Here is a 15,089-nt window from a genome sequence, read left to right on the forward strand (position 1 = left end):
TATGTGTGAAGTGTGTGGTATGGGGAATGTGTGGTGTGGTGTGTGGATGTATTGTGTGGTGGGTGTGTGGTGTGTGGATGTATTGTGTGGTGTGTGTGTAATGTGTGTATACTGGGTGTTTGTGGTGTGGGGGGTATGTGTGTAGTGTGTGGTATGGGGTGTGTGGTGTGATGTGTATGTGTGTGTTGTTTGGTGTGTGTGTACTGGGTGGGTGGTGGAGGCATATGTGTGTAGTATGTTGTGTGTGTGTGTGTGTGTGTGTTCCAGAGCTACATTTTTCAACCTTTTCCTTTGTATTTCTCCTTTGTGATTTCCATAACAAGTATTGTTGCAGAAAATCAGAGAAATGTAGACAAGCACCAAGGAGAAAACAGAAGGCACGTCATCAACTAAACATCTGACTCGCATTTTGGACATGGTCTAGTGCTTTCTAGGCAATTGTAAGTCCTTGCCATGCATGTTGGTTCACAAACTGTTCTTAACACATGATGTATTATGCTGACTTCTCATCTCATTAGGCATATTTTACACTAGATTTTCAAAGAGTGACCAATGTTACTATGGCACATCCTGCCTAACTATTTCACTGTCAGTAGCTGCCCAGGTTATATCTGGATTTTCTATTTATAAACACTGAGAAACACCCTTTTCAATAAATGCTTCTTAACATTCATGATTCTTTAAATAAATGTCTAGCTCATTCAGACTCCAATGGCCAAAGGGTACATGTGCCTTAAAATCTTTAAAACATTAACCGGGCTGGGCACGGTGGCTCACACCTGTAATCCTAGCACTTTGGGAGGCCAAGACGGGAGGATCACCTGAGGTCGGGAGTTCAAGACCAGCCTGACCAACATGGAGAAACCCCATCTCTACTAAAAATACAAAATTAGCCGGGCATGGTGGCGCATGCCTGTAATCCCAGCTACTTGGGAGGCTGAGGCAGGAGAATCACTTGAACTTGGGAGGCAGAGGTTGCAGTGAGCCAAGATTGCACCATTGCACTCCAGCCTGGGCAACAAGAGCAAAACTCCATCTCAAAAAAAAAAAAAAAAAAAAAAAAAAGAAAAAAAAAAAACCACTAACCAACTGCCACCTCCTAGTGCATGCATTAGATGCTGGACCTCAGTATAGAGCATCGAATCACAACTCCTGGCTTCACCACTTCTTGGCTGAGCGGCTTCAAGAATAACATTCTTATTCTCTCTGTTCTCACCTGTAAACAAGAGGGGAGAACTGACCCAGTCTTACAGGACTGTGGTCAGAACTCCATGAGACGGATAGAGTTTGGCATATCATTTATAACAAGGTCACCATGAACGTCATCTAGCATTCTTGTCCCATAACTTCTTTCCCTTGTTTCCAATCTGTCTTTCCAATTCATCACTCTGAAATGCCAGAGTTACTCCTGAGACATCGATCTGATTGCTTTATTTACTGCTCAAATACCTGCATAATTATGCTGAGTGAAAGAAGCCAGACTCAAAGGCTACAATCTGTATAATTCCTTCTATATGAAATTCTGGAAAAGCCTAGAGGGATGGAAAACAGGTCAGTGGTTGCTAGGTCTGGGGAAAGGAAACTGACTACAAAGGGGCACAAGACGGAATTTTTGGAGTTATGAAAATTTTCCATACCTTGATTTGGTGTGGAAATGATTTGGTATGGTTATATTTACCAAAACCACATGCATTAACCAAAACTCACAGAATGGTACATTTAACAGGAAAGATTTCACTGTATATAAAATTATAGCTCAATAAATCACACAAATAACCAGAACTGACTCAAACAGAAACAGAAAATCTTCATAGTCCTATGTTAAGGAATTGAATTCATAATTAAAAGCCTCTCCATAAAGAAAACCCCAGACAGGCTGGGCACAGTGGCTCACACCTGTAAGCTCAGCACTTCAGAAGGCCAAAGCGGGAAGATGGCTTGAGGTTAGGAATTCAAGGCCAGCCTGGGAATCATAGTGAAACTCTGTCTCTGCTAAAATTCAAAAAAATTAGCCAGGCATAGTGGTGTATGCTTGTAGTCCCAGCTACTCTGGAGGCTGAGGCAGGAAGATCACTTGAGCCCAGGAAGTCAAGGCTGCAGTGAGCTATGATTGAGCTATGATTGTACCACTGCACTCCAGCCTGGACAACACAGTGAGACCTTGTCTCCAAAAAGGGAAAGGAAGGGAAGGGGAGGGGAGGGCAAGAGAAGCCCAATCCTACAAAGACTATTCAAAAATAGTAAGAGGAACCACTTCTCAAATCATTGTGTGGGGCAAACTTTACTTTGATACCAATATAAAATACAGTACCAGAAAAGAAAACAATATCCCTCATGACATAGCCACAAATATCCTTAATAAAATTGCAGCAAATCAAATCCAGCAATATATAAATATATATATATAATATATAAAACAAATATATAAAAAAGATACATAATTACCAAGTGGGATTTGTGCCAGAAATGCAAGAATGATTTAACATTCAAAAGTTAACCAGTGTAATTCACCATATTTACAAACAAAAAATGAAAAACCCTATGATCATCTCAACAGATACAGAAAAAGTATATGAGGAAATTCAACACCTACTCATGATAAAAGCTCTCAACAAATTAAAAAACTTCCACCGCCTTGTAAAAGGCACTTCATATCTTTACCTAACATCATACTTAACAACAACAACAACAAAACTTGAAATTCTTCCTTCCTGATATTGGGAACAGGCAAGAATGTCCACTTTTATCACTTCTATTAATCATTGTACTGAAAGTCCTAGAAGTGAAAGAAAAGAAGAAAAAGGAGTAAAAGGCATTCTAACTGGAAAGAAACTGGTCTTTATTCATAATCATCAGAATTATCTATATGAAAGATCTTGAGGGACTACAAAAAAAGCTACTTAAATAGCGACTTAGCAAGGTTCACAGGATAAACAAAAAATAGAAAAAATCAATTGTATTTCTATATATCGCAATTAACAACTGGAAAATAAAATTTTTAAAATCCATGTATAATAATATGAAATACTTATGAGTAAATCTGATAAAACATGTGCAAGACCTGTACACTCAAAACTACAAAACACTGCTGAAAGAAATAAAGGAAGATGAAAATAGAGGGAGATTCCATGCTCATTGGTCAAGAGACCAAATATTGTTACAATGTTTTTTCCCAAATTGATCTAAGGAGTTAATACAATTCTGGCCAAAATCCAAGCAGGCTTGCTGTAGAAACTGACAAACTGATCTTAAGTATATAAGAAAATGCAAAGGATCTAGAACCGACACTACAATTTTGAAAATGAAGCAAAATTGTCATGCTACCTGACTTCAGGAGTTACTACAGAGACAGTGTGATACTGGGACCTATGAGGAATAAGCCATAATGGAACAGAACAGAATCCAGAAACAAAGGCACACAGATATGGTCAATTACTTTACAAACATGGTATCAACATAATTCACTGGAGAAAGAAGAGGCTTGCTGTTGTTGTTTACTTTAAAACAAATGGTGTGAGAACAATCGGAAGTCTACATGTAAAACAATGAACCTCAATCCTTAGCTCTTTCCATTAAAAATTAACTCGAAATGGATCACAGATCTTTTTTTTTTTTTTTTTTTTTTTTTTTTGAGAACAGAGTCTCACTCTGTCACACAGGCTGGAGTGGCTGGAGTGCAATGGTGCGATCTCAGCTCATTGCAACCTCCGCCTCCCAGGTTCAAGTGATTCTCCTGCCTCAGGCTCCCAAGAAGCTGGGATTACATACGTGCACCATCACATCCGGCTAATTTTTGTACTTTTAGTAGAGACAGGGTTTCACCATATTGGCCAGGCTGGTCTCAAACTCCTGACCTCAGGTGTTCCACTCACCTCAGCCTCCCGAACTGTTGGGATTACAGGCGTGAGCCACCACGCCCAACCAAAATGGATCTCAGATCTAAACATAAAAGCTAAAATTACCACATTTTCAGAAGAAAACACAGATAATCTTTATCACTATGGATTAGACAAAGATTTCTTAAATAGGGTACAAAAAGCACAAACCATTAAAACAACTTAAAACCAAAAAGTCTGCCCATTGAAAGATATAACGGATAAAAAGGCAAGCCATAGACTGAGAGAAAATATTTGCAATACAAGTATCTGACAAAAGGTTTGAGTCAAGAATATGTAAAGAACACCTACAACTCACATATAAGAAGACAACCCAATTAAAAAGTGATCAAAAGATCTGAACAGACACTTCACAAAAGAATATACACAAATAGCTAATAAGCACATGAAAAGACGCTCAACTAAAACTGCACAGATACAGCACTACCACATTTCCACTAGAATAGCTAAAATTAATAAGACTGACAACAGCAAGTGTTGGCACAGACGTAAACCAACTGCAACTCTCATGCGTTAGCAGTGGGAACGTAAAATGATACAACTGCTTTGCAAAGCAGTTTGCCAGATTTTTAATCAAGTTAAACATCTACTTACCATGAAACCCTGTAATTCCACTTGTAGGTAGTTACGCAGGAGAAATAAAAACATATGTCCACGCTAAGATTTGCCCACGAATGCTCACAGCATGTCTTATATCATCTTTTATTGTGGTAAAATACTCGTAAGATAAAATTTACCATTTTAAAGCGTATAATCCAGTGGCATTTAGTACATTCGCAATGTTATGTAACCATCACCCCTATCTAGTTCCAGGACCTCAAAAGGAACCCCAATGCATATTAAGTGTTCACTTCCCATTCCCCCACCTCCCCAGCTCCTGGCAACCACTAACGTGTTTTCTGTCTGGAAAGATCTGCCCATTCTGAACATTTCATATCAATGAAATAATACAATATGCAGCTATTAATCTGTGCCTGGCTACCTTCACTTAGAATAATGTTTTTGAGGTGAATTCACATTGTAGCATGTATCAGCGCTTCACTCCTTTTTATGGCTGAATCATAGGCCATGTATGAATATACCACATTTAGCTTACCCATTCATCCACTGCTGGACATCTGGGTTTCCGTCCTTTGGCTACTGGAATAGTGCCACTGTGAACAGCCGTGTATAAGTTTTTGTGTGAGTCCCTGCTTTCAATTCTTTTAGGTATATACGTAGGAGTGGGAGTGCTAGGTCATATGGTAATTCTGTATTTAACTTTTTGAGGAATCTCCAAACTTTTTTCCAAAACAGCTACACCATTTTACATTTCTATCCGGAGTGTATGAGGGTTCTAATTTCTCCATAACCTCACCTACGCTTGTTATTTCCCTCCACCCTCCTTTTTTTTTTTTTAATTAAAGCTAGTAGGGTGCGAGATGGTATCTCACTGTGGCTTTGATTCACATTTCCCTAACAACTAATGATGTTAAGCACCTTCTCGCATGTTTATTGGCCGTTTGTAAATCACCTTTATTGACACATTTACCCATGTTTTAACTGGCAGTTTTTGTGGTTGAGTTGTAGCTCCCAGCACTTTGATTCACAATAAACCCAGAAGAGGAAACAATTCAAACTTCCACCAACTATTCAGCAATAAAAAGACATCAAGTGCCGGTATGCACAGCAACATGTAAGAATCTAAAAAACATTATGCAGAGTGAAAGGAGCTAGACAAAAGAGTATGCAGATGGTCCCCCATTTACAATGGTTTCATTTATGATTTTTTGGCTTTACAATGGTGTGAAAGCCATTCGAATCCAGTAGAAACGGTACTGCGAGTATCCACACAACCATTCTGCTTTTCACTGTCAGTGTGGCATTCAATAAATTATATTCAACACTTTATTATAAAAAAGGCTTTGTGTTAGATGACTCTGCCCAACGGTAGGCTAATATAAGTGTTCTGTGCACGCTGAAGGTGGGCTAGCCTAAGGTATGCTTTTGGGCGGGTCAGGTGTATCAAACACATTTTTGACTTAGGATATCTTCAACTTAATGATGGGTTTATGATTAGGATGTAATCCCATCACAGGTCTAGGAGCAACTGTCAAATATATGCTCCCACTTTGAAAGTATTGAAGAAATAAATCCAATCTATAATAATCTAATCTATGCAGATCAGTAATTGCTGGGAAGAGGGGGTTGAGTGAAAAGGGGCAACAGGGAAATTTAGGGGGATTCTCAGGGCCATATGGTCTCTGTGGCAACTGCTCACCTCTGCTGCAATAGCATAAAAGCAGCCACAGATGATTCGAAATAAATTGGCCCAGCACACTTGACCTGCAGGCCCAAGCTTACCAAATCCTGGTCTATATCCTGATTATGGTGTCAGTCACATGGCTATCTACATGTGTCAAAACTCAGTTAGCTGTGTTTGAAGTGAATACATTTTGTCATAATTCATGTCAATAAAACTGAGTAGGACAGCATTGCCTCTAGTGGGACTCCACGTGGAAAGCACCCCAAGTCTAAGGTGCATCCAACCTGGGGACCGCTACTTTCTCCCCATGGGCCTGTCCCACCCACTCCCAAGTGTGGGCCTGTCTTAGGGCAGCAGTTCAAAAGCCTCTGGGGAGCCTGTTAAAACAGATGGCTGAGTCTGGGCACCGTGGCTCACACCTGTAATCCCAGCACTTTGGGAGGCCGAGGAGGGTGGATCACCTGAGCTCAGGAGATCGAGACCATCCTGGCCAACATGGTGAAACGCTGTCTCTACTAAAATACAAAAAATTAGCCGGGCATGGTGGCGTGTGCCTGTAGTCCCAGCTACTCAGGAGGCTGACGCAGGTGAATGGCTTGAACCCACGAGGCAGAGGTTGCAGTGAGCTGAGATCACACCACTGCATGCCAGCCTGGCGACAGAGCAAGACTCTGTCTCAAAAACAACAACAACAACAACAACAACAACAAACAGATGGCTGGTCCCACCCCACAGTTCCAGATGCCAGGGAGACTCTGCATTTCCCAGGGGTGCAATGCCGCTGGTGCGGGGACCACTCTCAGAGAAGCACACTCCCATTCCTCCAGCGTTCAGTCCATGTGGAACTGAGAGTCAGTGTTGCAGGCAAAATGCAGGCCATCCCTGCCCGGCCTGGAGACAATGCCAGCACTCACTAAGGTGATGAGGAAAATGCTCACAGTCCACCAGCGATGGGACAGCCCCATGCATCTGTGGGCCCCGGGGCCAAGAGGAGGCACAGCACACACCGAGAGTCAACAGCAGCTCATGGGGATCCTTCACCAAAGGGGCGGCCCCAGCCAGTCTCTGTCCCTCCCACCCACCTCACGGCTTCCTCCCACTCTGCTCCATCCTTCTCTTCAGGATGCAACCCTTCCAAGCGGGCCTCCCTCAGCCCTATCTGCCCATGACCCCCCTCCACTTCCCCACTGCCCTTCACGGCAGCAAAATTCTTGAAAAAGCAATAGGGTCCTGCTGTCCCAAATTCCCCTCCTTCCTTCTCTCAAGAAACTCACCCCATACTTCAGCCCACCATCCCAGACCACATGGATAAACCCCAGGTTGTCTTCGGTTCTCACCTTCGTGACCTCCGCTGTCACCCTCCCTCTCATGCAAGCTGCATGTGGCCTCCAGGATGCCCTCAGAACCCTCTGGTTATCCCCTACCTCGCTGGCCGCACCTTCTTGGTTTCTTGTTCCAGGCTCAGTCCTCGGACCTCTTCTCTTTTCCATCTACCTCAACTCCCTAGTGGTCTCATCCAAACTCCCTTTCAAAATGTCATCTCTATAGCTACAATATATTGCCAAGATTAGGGTCCCAGCTCAGAGCACTCCCCCAAACTCCAGATCCCTTCCTCCAACTTCCTCCTCCCCACCTCCACTGGGACACTTCAGTAGGACTCTCACCTGTACTATCTTGAGAGCCACACCATCCCTCTGAATCCTCACAACTCCTCCCCTGAAGACCTCAGTCTCAGAGTGATGGCAACTCTACCCTTCCAACACCCGATCCAAGACTCTTGGGTCATCCTGGACCCCTTGCTTGCTGCAACAGCCCTCATGGGATCCATCACAGTCCTGTTGGCTCCGTCTTCGCAGAACACCTGCAATCAGCCTGCCTCCCACCCGAGGAGACTGCCCGAGCTCCTGCAAGGCCCGCCCCGCACCGCCCTCCTACCATTGCTCATGTGTGCCTAAGTGTCCCCTCACCACTCCTCACCTCCCCTACATCTAGGGCTCAGCAAGGCACAGGGGCCACCTGATTTTAAATCACAACCACCCTCTCAACAAACCACTGGCCCCTTAAGCGGCTGGACCTAGAACTATCTATCTCCCCTCTCATTAGCCTCCCATCTCCCTCCACTTGACCATATTCCCCGGCACCCCAGCCATGACTGACATTCAATACGTGTTTTCTGGGGAAGCAGTGAAACTTCATCAAGTGGACAAGTGCAAGAGTTGGGAGGGCCCTGAAAGGTAAGCAGTTCCTTCAGGTCAGGAACCTAAGACAAAGGAGCATCACCCACCAGGGACCAAACGTGCCAGCACTGTGACCTGCCCAGATGGCTCAGCTCCTTGTGGGCCCTCAGAAGGAGGGGGCTATACAGGATAAGTGTGATCCAGATGGGGGAAAAGAATGTGCATCCACCCACTGGGTGGTTCTGTGCAGGCGCAAAGGCAGGCGGCTCCTGGCAGCACAACAATGAACATGTGCCAAGACCCTCAGCCCTCAAAGATGGCCCAGGGCTCAGAGCCCCGCCACAGCCCTGCTGCAGCACTGGGCTGTGCCCTCACAGCACATGGGACACACCGGTCAGGAACAACAACAAACAAAAGCTCCTAAACTCACAGTGAGAACCAAGTGGGTCAATTGCAGGCCTAACGGGAAACTTTCTGTCCTTCCAAACAAAGTCAAAACACACACACAAATCAGAAGGCCTAACAAACACCCACATTCTACATCAAGGCAAATTACGTTCTGGCTGCTCAAGCAACTCTAATTTCTTGCAACAGATCAGGAAAATACAAAAACTGTTACAATTCTAAGCAATTTCTACTTTTTACTTTGTAGACTTCTATGCAGCACGCATCACTTATGTTTTTGCTATAGCTTTAGGTTACTTAACATATCCTTTACTAAATGGAAGAAGAAAACAAAGACACCACAGGAAATGCTGGAACAAGCCCCAGGTCCAGGTCAGCCAACCAGCAATGGGGACCCCTCTGGCGCAGGCTCCAGACCAGACTTGGCCTTTGTTTCTGTACTGAGTGTAAGGATAACCCTTCTGTGGCTGGATTGTACTATTATTTAATTGTCAGGGTCTTTGTCTTGTCTCCCCTAATGCTGATAGTAGCATATTGATTTCTATCCTTCATAGCCCACAAAGCACATATTCAGAGGATCAATAACTATTGATTCATTGATTGCCTCATGGAAGCCAATTCATCTGTTATTAAGACGTGTAGAAACATGAACTTCCACAAATCAAATTCTATTTAAAACGCCAGAGGAAAGTATATGACCTAATGAAGACCACTTTTTGAAAATTCATTTTGATATTCCAAAAATAATTCCTTGTAACAGAAACAAACCATACATAAGTACAAAAAGAAGACAAAGTATAGGTTCCCTCTTCCTCTTCCCTCTCCTCCCCCAACACACACTCACTCACATTCACACACGCCCCACCCTTTGCTAACTGTGGAGTGCTGCTTTCACTCAGGGCTGAGTCCCTAGAGCCTGGGGCAGCGCCTGGCACCAGGTCCACATAGGCGGCTCCATAATGATCTGCTGAATACCAGGTGTGTGTCCTTCCAGATGGGCTTCCGTGCTGAGCGCCTGCACTTGTGCATGGAGAGGGCACATTCTCTATAGTCTACACTAAGGAGTGACATTTCTACTTAATAGATTGGCATATCTTTTAAAGTAAACCTTTGAATGATGCCATCATGAAGTAAAGAATCCAATGGCATGTTTTACAGGGAGGAATTGGAGATCTCCGATTATTATTAACTTTTCATGATGGAGAATTTTCAAAGTGCATGCAAGTAGGCAGAACAGAACAAAGAACCCAGGTACTCTCATCCAGACCCCAAACTGTCCACTCAGACCATCTCGCCCCTTCTCATCCCCTCTGCTTCCCCACCCCACACTAATCTGAGGCAGATCCCAAACATCATTTCATCTACCAACACTCAGTATCTATTGCTAAAGGGTGAAAGTTATTCTAACATAACCACGATGCTGTGATTAAGGAATTCCTTAAAATCATCATTCACTCCACAAATGTCCATGAGACACATCAATAGCCTAGTTTTCAAAGGAGTGATGCTTGGATCAAATGCTGATCCAAGTGACAGCCTGGATCAGGCTTTGATCGAAGCCAGAAATCTTGGGGTGCCACTTAGATGTGATCCAGGGCAGGGATGCAGTCATTGCTTTCATGGGCAGCATCTGAAACTTCTGGACCAAATAACAGGACCCTGCCTGCCCCCCACTGAGGTTTGCACAGGTGCTGTGGGAAGGCGGCTGCTGATGCCCCAGGGGAAGCAGCAAGGCAGTAGAAAGCTGGGGCCCCTGCTGTGACACCCCCAGCTAAAGGCAAATTCGCTCAGGGAGGGTCACAGAAGCTGAAAAGTGACCCACAAGCAGCAAAGCAATTTGCTTATCCCAAGGATCGCCTTAACTAGTGCACCTAAAACACCACCCAGCTTCCAGGGAAGGCCCTGGCACACCCTCTCCACCTGACTGAATCAGCAGCTATCTCCTCCAGCAGCCCTGGACCCTGGACGGCAATGGTGATGGGGATGGGGATGCAATGGGCAGGGCTGAGGAACTGCACCTGCCAAGCCCAGGGCGGACCCTGGCCCAGGGAAGAGAGGACCCACCCCAGCTGCCTCTGCCACCTCCCTTCTCACCTTCTAGTCTTCTTCCTGGAATTGTCCAAGTTCAAAGAAGAAATAACTGCCCTGGTTGGGAACAGCAGGCAGCAGCCTTTCTCTCAGCAACTAGGCTCGACAATCAGCCGACGGCACGTTTATTTCTATATTTTCACGTGGCAAGTTTCATCCCCATGGGTCCTAGCTCCAACCCTGGAGCTCTGGCTCCAGGGGTCAGGAGGAGAATCTGCAACCACCCTCCTGGACCCGCCCATCCCTCCCTCCCCAACAGAAATGGAACCAAGAGAGGCAGAAGCCTGAACAGCCTCAATGCAGAAGCACAGAAGATAGAGAAAACCATTGATCTTTGCAATGCATTATTGATTTTGCTGTTGTGCTGTCAGCAGCGGACGTTCCCTCCCTCCTCAGTCAAAGCTGGCCATTAGCGTGCACTCCCAAGCTTTGGCCTAGACACACCCGCTTGGTGTGGGGAAAGCGGCTCTAGGTAACATCTGCCTCCAGCGGTCCACATGGAGAGGACTGTCCACAAGTGGATGATGTCACCAAGGACATCTCCCTGGCCCCAGACCCACTGGATATCAAATGCAACATGGTCGCTGGTCTTGCACTCTAAACCTCAGCCCAGGACCCCAGGCACTCAGGGGGGTCTGTGCAAGGCTGCATTTTCAACAGACTCTGGGTGTGCTTCTCAGGAGGTGGGCCCCCTCCCATGGAGTCCCTCCCTTGTGCTGTGCTGCAAGACCTTGGGCTGGCATGGCAGCTGGGGCTCTGCATCCCCACGGTGGCCTTTTGCCTGTCTGCACTCTGAAATACAGCCACTGAGTTCCACCGTCTACCAACTCCTAAGCGGCCCACCCTCCTGGGACCCCAGGGCTGCTCCTGGCACCAGTGATGTGTTTCTATTTCTTTGTTTGACTCGCTGAGTGTACCACGTACACTCTTCTCAGTCTGAAGGTCTGGCCTTATGGGAGGGCAGTCTTTGCTCACAGAAACAGGCCAGTGCATCCCTCATCTTCCCACCCCAGCCTCCCTGGTGGGTATGCTGAGCCCGCCTGCTTTCTTCTTCTGGCTGACGACTACCAAGACATGATATACGCAGACACCAACTGTCAAAATGACAATCAGGGCATTATCATCTCTACCAGAATCCTGCCCCTGCACTGGCCAGAGCTGCCTGTTTCTGGGACACAGTAAACATTCCCAAATAACCTCGCCTGGGCAGCCAGCAGGCAGGCCCCAGGCCTAGGACACATATGAGGTGACAGGCCACTGGTGTCACGTCACCCCCAGGAAAGGAAACTTCCGTTCCGTGGCGCCTGGTGGATTTGAAAAGACTCAGAACAGCAGGGTGAGATGCTTGGCCCCAGGCCCCACGTCCAGCTTGGCCTTCGGGGGCCTGGCCACCCACGAGCCTGGGATGTGCTCAACACAGAGTGAGGTTTTCAAAACAAAAGCAAAGCAACTTCATGTGGAAAACCTTCCGGAAAGCAGGACCCAGCCCTCGACACCAGGCCTCATTTGACGCAAACTGCCCACTTACAGACTCCCATTCACCCACTCTCCCACCTACCCCCCAAAATACTAAGCCAGAAAATAGAGGACAACCACGAGTTCAACTCTCCTTTACACGTTTTTACTGGCATAACCCCAGTAGAGCCAGCCCCTTGCAGCTCACTAGGCGGCTGCAACAGGTGCAGCCCAAGCTAAGGCTTGTGGTTCTCCTGGGCTGTTCTAGAATAATGCAACCAAAACCCGAAAGGAAACCGAGGCCTGCAGCACTCACTGCCAAGGCGGCGACCTGACCACTGCGGCCCAACCTGCCCCACCTGTCTGAGTGCGCGGCGCCGGGTCCAGTGCACAGGGTCCGCGGCCTCCGCGACCAAAATAGAAGCCCGCGGGGGCCCGGCCAGAGCCCGGCTGGCCGGAGTGGGGCCTGACCTGGCGGGGCCGGACTGGGCGGGCCGGGGCGCGACGGGGCCTGGCCGAGCGCACCGCCCCCTCCCTGGCCCGGGTATGCAGCGCGCCCCCGCTCCCCCGCGCCCAGAGGAGCCACCTGCGCGCAGGGACTGGGGAGGCAACCGGGAAGGGGAGAAGGCCGGGGAGGGATAGCAGAGAGGTCCAGGGGGTCGGAGGGGTCCGGGTAGGTGTCTCTGGGAGGCGTCCCAGGAGGGGCCCCGGGGGGATCCAGGAAGGAGTCCAGGGGTCCGGGGATCCCAGAAGGAGGCTCCTGCAGGGGTTCGGGGAGGGCCCCGAGGGTCCGGTGAGGAGCCTAGGGGTGTGGAGTGGGGGCTCCGCGGAGGGTCCAGGCCGCCCCCAGCGCACCTGCCCGGCCCCGCGCGCCCTCCCTCCCGCGCCAGCCCGGCCGCTTACCTGCAGCGCGCGTCCTGCCCGCGGCGGCTCCCGGCCGGGCGAGTTCGGGCGCCAGGAATGGCGGCGGCGGCGGCGGCGGCAGCGGCGGGAGGCGGCCGGGCCGGGGAGGGGGTGGCGGGGAGGCCCGGCGGCGGCAGCGGCGGCTGGGATGCTGCGGCGCGCGAGAGCGCTGAGGCCGGCGCGGGGACGGAGTGCGCGGGGCGGGCGCGCAGGCCCCTCCTCCGCTCCCCCTCCCTTCCCGCCTCCTCCCCTTTCCCTTCCCCTTCCTCTCCCCCTTCTTCTCTTCCCTCCTATGGCCCCGCCCCTTTCTTCCTCCTTCCTCCTCCCTCCTCCTCGCCCCTGCTCACCTCCCTCCTTTCCCTCCCCCAACCTTTCTTTTCCTCCCTTCTCTTTTTCCTCCTCTTTCTTCACCTTCGCAACACTCTTCCACCTCTCTCCCCTTCTCCCCACTTTTGCTCCCCACTCCTTCCTCCTCACCTCCCATCTCTCTTGCCTCCCCGCCAGGCCCAGAGGGTTGTCCCTCAGCCCTGGGTTGGTCTCTGCTGAGTCAAGCACCCGTTCCCAGGACCAAGAGGTGCCCTGTCACCCTCTTCCTCACCAGCTCTCAATAGACAAGCTTGCCCCTTCTGGGGTCCTGGATGAACCCCACCCTTTCCAGGCCTCCCCCAAATCCCCCAGTTTTTTTTCACCCCCAGACCCTGGGCCAGCTCTTCTGAGAACCTGACCTGCAGTGTGCGTGAGGCACGTGGCACCCAGAACACTTGGCTGCTGACTTTGGGCAAGAATATTTCACACCAGGCTGCTCCCATTCCCCAGGGGAGGGGCTGGCACCACCTGGAGTCTTGGTTTCCCTGAACCCCCGTGCTAGCCTTTTGCCAAACGTTCATCATTTTCCACTCTGTATGGCAAATGGTCCTCCTGTGAGGCTGCTGGTGAGACTTGTTTGTGACTAGCCCATGGGTTTGGGGATCTGGGGGCCCTCAGAGATGGTGCTGCTCCATCCAGACCTCTTCCCTCTGCCCCCAGGAGAGGTGACAGGGCTCGCACAGTGACTGGCCAGGCTGGGAGGCCTATTGAGGAACACAGTCCTGAGAAGGGGACACAGTTTCTTACGGAACCAGCTAAGATTTCCCCTAAATGTGAGGAGTTGGGGAGCCCCTCTCCAGGCCAGGTGATACCTCCCTGGACTACAGACTGCTGTTGAGGGGCAGGGGCCCTGAGGCTGTTTTCCTGCTGAGCACTGGCTCTGAGAGCCAGAGTTTACAAATGAAGCCAGTCCCAGGCCCAACAGTCACAGAGTTAAAGGCCCAACAGTCTCAGAGTTCCGTTCTAGGGCCTCCTGTGGTTTCTGTGGTTCAGTGCCGGAGCTCTGAGAATAGGGCTTCGGCCCAGCAAAGGCTAAGATGGCAAAGCTGGTGTCAAGCAGGGTGGGGTGGAGCACGCACCCCCTCCTCCCTCTACGGCATGGCAGCCACCACCCTCTTGCTGAAGAATCCAGACCTGGAATCTGATAGACTCCCTTGACTCACAGCTCTGCAGTTTCCAAATAACCTCAGGCCTCAGCAAACCTCTGTACCCTGCAACATGAGGACAGTGTGGTCGTCCTGGAGGGTTTGGGGAGCACGGAGAGAGAATGGCAGGTAAAGCCCACTGCACCGTGTGCTCGGGTTCAGTGCTGGTGACTATTACAGGAAAAACTAGAGAAGTCTTTTCCAAGCTCTTTTCCAATTGTAGGGGTCCATGAATCCATGTTCCACATCCCATTTGGATTGAAACATAATGGGAACGGATTAGGACAGAACTGGTTTAACAGCATTCTATACCCAAGGAGGGATGCACGCTTAGGATCTACACATGCAAGCATTGCACTGATTGGGGTGGGGTGGGGGGACTCTCTTTTATTCCTCACTAGTCAGACAC

The 15,089-nt window shown here is 48.7% G+C and overlaps 1 protein-coding gene across 20 annotated transcripts in view, besides 5 other annotated features; it reads right to left on the reverse strand.

Annotated features, from left to right (window-relative positions):
* Positions 1-13,364, reverse strand: part of SEMA4D (semaphorin 4D) — a 137,327-nt gene extending 123,963 nt beyond the window's left edge. For 16 of the 20 annotated variants that reach the window (XM_047422627.1, XM_047422624.1, XM_047422620.1 and 13 more), the window contains exon 1: positions 13,170-13,364. The gene's annotated coding sequence lies outside the window, so the exon portion shown is untranslated. Of the gene's footprint in view, positions 1-10,817; positions 10,908-12,625; positions 12,754-13,169 lie in introns of those variants that run through there. The other 4 variants (NM_001371198.1, NM_001371195.1, XM_047422619.1 and 1 more) reach the window with 3 other exon arrangements.
* Positions 435-514: a silencer, noted in NCBI's record as "silent region_20010". NCBI's record gives its function as "represses an Ori minimal core promoter by ATAC-STARR-seq in GM12878 lymphoblastoid cells {active_cell/tissue: GM12878}" and the evidence as "EXISTENCE:reporter gene assay evidence [ECO:0000049][PMID:35858748]".
* Positions 525-614: a silencer, noted in NCBI's record as "silent region_20011". NCBI's record gives its function as "represses an Ori minimal core promoter by ATAC-STARR-seq in GM12878 lymphoblastoid cells {active_cell/tissue: GM12878}" and the evidence as "EXISTENCE:reporter gene assay evidence [ECO:0000049][PMID:35858748]".
* Positions 1,784-1,853: an enhancer, noted in NCBI's record as "active region_28547". NCBI's record gives its function as "activates an Ori minimal core promoter by ATAC-STARR-seq in GM12878 lymphoblastoid cells {active_cell/tissue: GM12878}" and the evidence as "EXISTENCE:reporter gene assay evidence [ECO:0000049][PMID:35858748]".
* Positions 12,684-12,833: a silencer, noted in NCBI's record as "silent region_20012". NCBI's record gives its function as "represses an Ori minimal core promoter by ATAC-STARR-seq in GM12878 lymphoblastoid cells {active_cell/tissue: GM12878}" and the evidence as "EXISTENCE:reporter gene assay evidence [ECO:0000049][PMID:35858748]".
* Positions 13,264-13,453: a silencer, noted in NCBI's record as "silent region_20013". NCBI's record gives its function as "represses an Ori minimal core promoter by ATAC-STARR-seq in GM12878 lymphoblastoid cells {active_cell/tissue: GM12878}" and the evidence as "EXISTENCE:reporter gene assay evidence [ECO:0000049][PMID:35858748]".

This window comes from Homo sapiens, chromosome 9, assembly GCF_000001405.40.
Source record: "Homo sapiens chromosome 9, GRCh38.p14 Primary Assembly".
NCBI lineage: Eukaryota > Metazoa > Chordata > Mammalia > Primates > Hominidae > Homo > Homo sapiens.